Raw genomic sequence first — 4,324 nt, 5'->3', positions numbered from 1 at the left:
ACCTGTGAGGAAGTTTCTGGTGAGAATAATATCTGAACTGGAAGACTGAATAAAGCAGATTGCCCTCCCTAACGTGGGTGGACTTCATCCAATAAATTCCAGACCTGAATAGAACAAAAACCCGGAGTAAGAGGGAACTCCTCTTGCTTGACTGCGTAAGCTGAGAGACATCAGTCTTTTCTTACCTTTAGACTCCAACTGGAAAATCAGCTCTTCTTGGTTTTGAAGCATGATGGCTTCCGGACAAGCACTAATACCATTGACTCTCCTGATTCTCAGGCCTAAGAAGTTCAAGATAAAATTTTGGCAAATCAAATTCAGCAAGATATAAAAAGGAGATAATATGTAGTGAACAAGTGAGGGCTTATTCCAGGAACACAAGGTTGGTTAACATTGTGTTAATGTTTTGAACATTAATCAATGTAACTCATCATTTATTAAGAGATAAAAATCTCTCAGTAGATTTGGATTAAAAGGTAACTTTCTCAACCTAGTAAAGGACATCTACAATACAGAAACAAAAACAAAAAACTTAAGGTTAAGATCATCTTTAATGTTGAAAGATTGAATGTTTTTTTCCTAACCCTGGGAATACAGAAAACGTATCCACTATCACCATTTCTATTCAACATTGTGCTAGAGATCTGTCAAGACAATAAGGAGGGTGAGGGTGGAAAAAGAAGGGAAGAAACAGAAGAAACATAAATTTGAATGAAGAAGTAAAACTGGCTTTATTCACAGGTAAAATTATTGTATTAATAGAAAATCCCTAAGAACCAAGAAGAAATATAATAGAACTTATGAAATCTCAAGAAATAAGGCTATAGATCAGCATGGTGGCATGTGCTGATAATCCCAGCTACTTAAGAGGCTGAGACAGGAGAATTACTGGCACCTAGAAGTTCGAGGTAAGCTTGGGCAACATAGCAAGTCCCTGTCTCAAATTAAAAAGAGAAGAGATATAAAGTTAATATACAAAAGTCCATTGTATTTCTATACAAGAAAATAAACAATATAACAAGCAATGAACAACTGGAAAATGAAATTAGAATTCTGTTTATGGTAACATTAAAAATGAAATACTTATGGAAAATTAAATATACACGAAACCTATAGACTGAAAAATATAGAAGACTGCTGAATTTTAAAAAGGTCTAAATAAATGCCGTGATATATCATATTTATGGTATATCAGACTTTTTGTAAAAACTGACAAATGGATTTTAAAAGAACCAAGAATAGTCAAAATAATTTTGCAAAAGAAACAGTTGCAGAAATTACTCTACCTGATTTCAAGAAGCTATAGTGATCAAGACAGTGTGATTTGTCCAAACAATGGGCATGTAGAGCAGCATAATAAAATAGAATACATAAGTAAACACATACACCTATGATAACTGATATTCAACAATGGTACAAATATAATTCAATGGGAAAGTATAGTTTTTTCAAAAATGGTACCAAAGCAACTAGAAATCTACATGAAAAAAAATGAACCTCAACCCTATCTAACACCATACATAAAAATTTACTCAAAGTGGATTAAAGACATAAATATGAAAGCTAAAATGATAAAACTTCTGGAAAAAATGGGAGAAAATCTTTGTGGCAGTGGAGTATGCAAAGAAAAAGATGTTTTTGATAAGATACAAGAAAAGCATGATTCATGCTATGACAGAAATACTGAACACGTATAATAAAATAAAGTAAAATGAAATTTTAAAAGCACAATCCATACAAGAAAATAATGACAAATTTGATTTCATTAAAATTTTTTTTCTTTTTTTTTACAGAGTCTTGCTCTGTCGCCCAGGCTGGAGTGCAGTGGTGCAATCTCATCTCACTGCAAGCTCCACCTCCCAGGTTCACACCATTCATCTGCCTCAGCCTCCCAAGTAGCTGGGACTACAGGTGCCCGCCACCACGCCCAGCTAATTTTTTGTATTTTTAGTAGAGACGGGGTTTCACCGTGTTAGCCAGGATGGTCTCGATCTCCTGACCTCATGATCCGCCTGCCTCGGCCTCCCAAAGTGCTGGGATTACAGGTGTGAGCCACTGCACCTGGCCTAAATTTTGTTTTTAATTAGCTCTTCTAATGACTTCTTTTAAAATACAAAAATGCAAACCACAGACTGGAAAAATATATTTATAACACATATATTTGACAAAGGACTTTATTGAGAATATAAAACAAACTTTTACCACTCACTATTAAGAAGAAAAACAACCCAATTAAATAGGCAAAAGATTTGAACCAACACCTCACAAAGGAAGGTACGGGGAATGGCTGGTAAGTGCATGAAAATCCATCAGGGAAATGCAACTTAATCATCAAGAAAATGTAAATCCAAATCACAATAAGATATAACTTCGTGTCCATTAGAAAAACTAAAATTTAAAAAACTGGCAACCCCATCTGTGGGTGAGGATGTAAAGCAACCACCAATTTCTTATAAAACAAAATGTGCGCCCACCCTATGGCCCATCAAACTTACTCATAAGTATTTCTTACCCAAGGGAAATAAAAATATATGTTCACAAAACACCATATATTAATACAAGAATGTTCATAGCAGCTTTATTTATAATAGCCAAAACCTGGAAATAACCTGAATGTCCATCAGTAGAAGAACGGCTAAATAAATTGTGGTACGTCTTTACAAAAAAAATTACTCAACAATAAAAAAGCATATTCTTCCAATATATGCAACCATGTGGATGAATCTCGAAAACATTATGCTGAGTGAAAGAAGCCAGATACAAAAAACACACACCGTATGATTCTATTTGAAATTTTGGGAAAAACAAACTAATCAATAGTGACAGAAAGCAGATGCAGGGTGAAATCAGCTAGGATCTAGCCAGTGTTGTCTTGCTAACTAGTCATGCAAGCTTGAGCAGGTCACTAGACCTTCCTGCTCCTTCATTTCCTCAAATATAATAGATAATTAGACAAACCCAGGTCATATGTGCTAGCTGAGATTCAAGGTCTCTTCCAGTGCTAAATTCTTGGTCTCTTCTGCATCCAGACCCATGGTGATATAAAAGGAAAAAATGTATTCGTGATGCTTACATTGAATTCCTAAAACTTAGTATAATTGTCATGAAGTGGTTTTGTCAAAGAAGCGAATCATTGTCTAGATAATTTTTCTTTTGCCAGAGAAAGTTAGGAATTAATAATAAAATAGGCCAGAAAAGTGAAGAAAGGGTTCTAACTGCAGTGGCAGGAGGCCTGGGCTTTTGATAGAAAACGCTGAGTATGGTGGGGAGGGGGGGGAGGGGGGGAGGGAGGGTGGGGGGGGTTAGGCTAAGTAGCAGAAAGAAGTAACAGTTGCAAAAAAAAAAAAAAAAAAAAGAAACACAACATGCAATGAAACTGAAGGCTCAAATCACCTTCCTGCTACATCTAGGAAACTGTAAAGTTAGAACCATTCATTTCCCCAGTAACACATTATTCAAAAGCCAAAATCACGGTCAAACAAATAGACCCCAAAAAATGCATTTGAATGGGAATTTCACTTGGGTCTTCTAGAAGGGACACCTTGCCTGTTTCACGACAATCCCATAAGGGACGTACTGTGCTTGTATTTATCCTCCATTTTACAGGTGGGGAAACCGAGATACATACCAGTGTATTACCCTTCTGAAAAACAAGGCATTTTAAATTTGAAAGCACAACTGGCCTCATGGCTTTAGATAAGGGATTGTGGACCTATAATAACTAACTCGCTGGGTTGTGGTCTGGATTAAATGTGATGATGTATGTCAAGGCCCTGGCACATATTCAGTTCTCTATAAGGGGCAGTTATTACTATTAGAAGGAATAATTAATTTTAGTTGGTAAAATTTCTAAGGTGTCTTGGAGGATGCAGGATTATAAAGATCCTTGTGGCAAGACCACTCAAGACAAAGGAAATTGCTTCAGCCAAGTTAATTGTGTGATGGTGGAGGGTGTATTCTGGGAATGTGAAATAAGGAGATGGTACTGGATTTGAGGATTACAGAAGAGATGAGGCCAGAAAGCTTGGTTGGTGCTACAAATTGTGGATAGCTTGTTGACATGTAACACCAGGAGGCCTAAAAGCTTGGATCTATGGTTGTGGGGGAGCGGAGTTGAAATTTAATGAAGGTCGGACATGGGAATACAGAAAAAATAGAACGTTAGGAAGACTGGGAGGCTCAACCAGGATTTGGCAACCAATATTGGGTAGGGGAGGGTGAGAGGGGGATTCTGGAGCTGAAATGTTTCTGAGACTTCAAGTATGACTCACATCTAGCACAGTTATGACTTGAGATCCAGTGCTTCCATGAAGAAAAGGACTAG

The 4,324-nt window shown here is 36.7% G+C and overlaps 1 annotated feature.

Moving 5' to 3' along the window:
• Positions 4,175-4,324: an enhancer, noted in NCBI's record as "active region_7774". NCBI's record gives its function as "activates an Ori minimal core promoter by ATAC-STARR-seq in GM12878 lymphoblastoid cells {active_cell/tissue: GM12878}" and the evidence as "EXISTENCE:reporter gene assay evidence [ECO:0000049][PMID:35858748]".

Source organism: Homo sapiens, chromosome 13 (assembly GCF_000001405.40).
Source record: "Homo sapiens chromosome 13, GRCh38.p14 Primary Assembly".
Taxonomy (NCBI): domain Eukaryota; kingdom Metazoa; phylum Chordata; class Mammalia; order Primates; family Hominidae; genus Homo; species Homo sapiens.
Note: the sequence above shows the minus strand (reverse complement) of the source record. Positions and strands in the feature narration are given on the sequence as shown.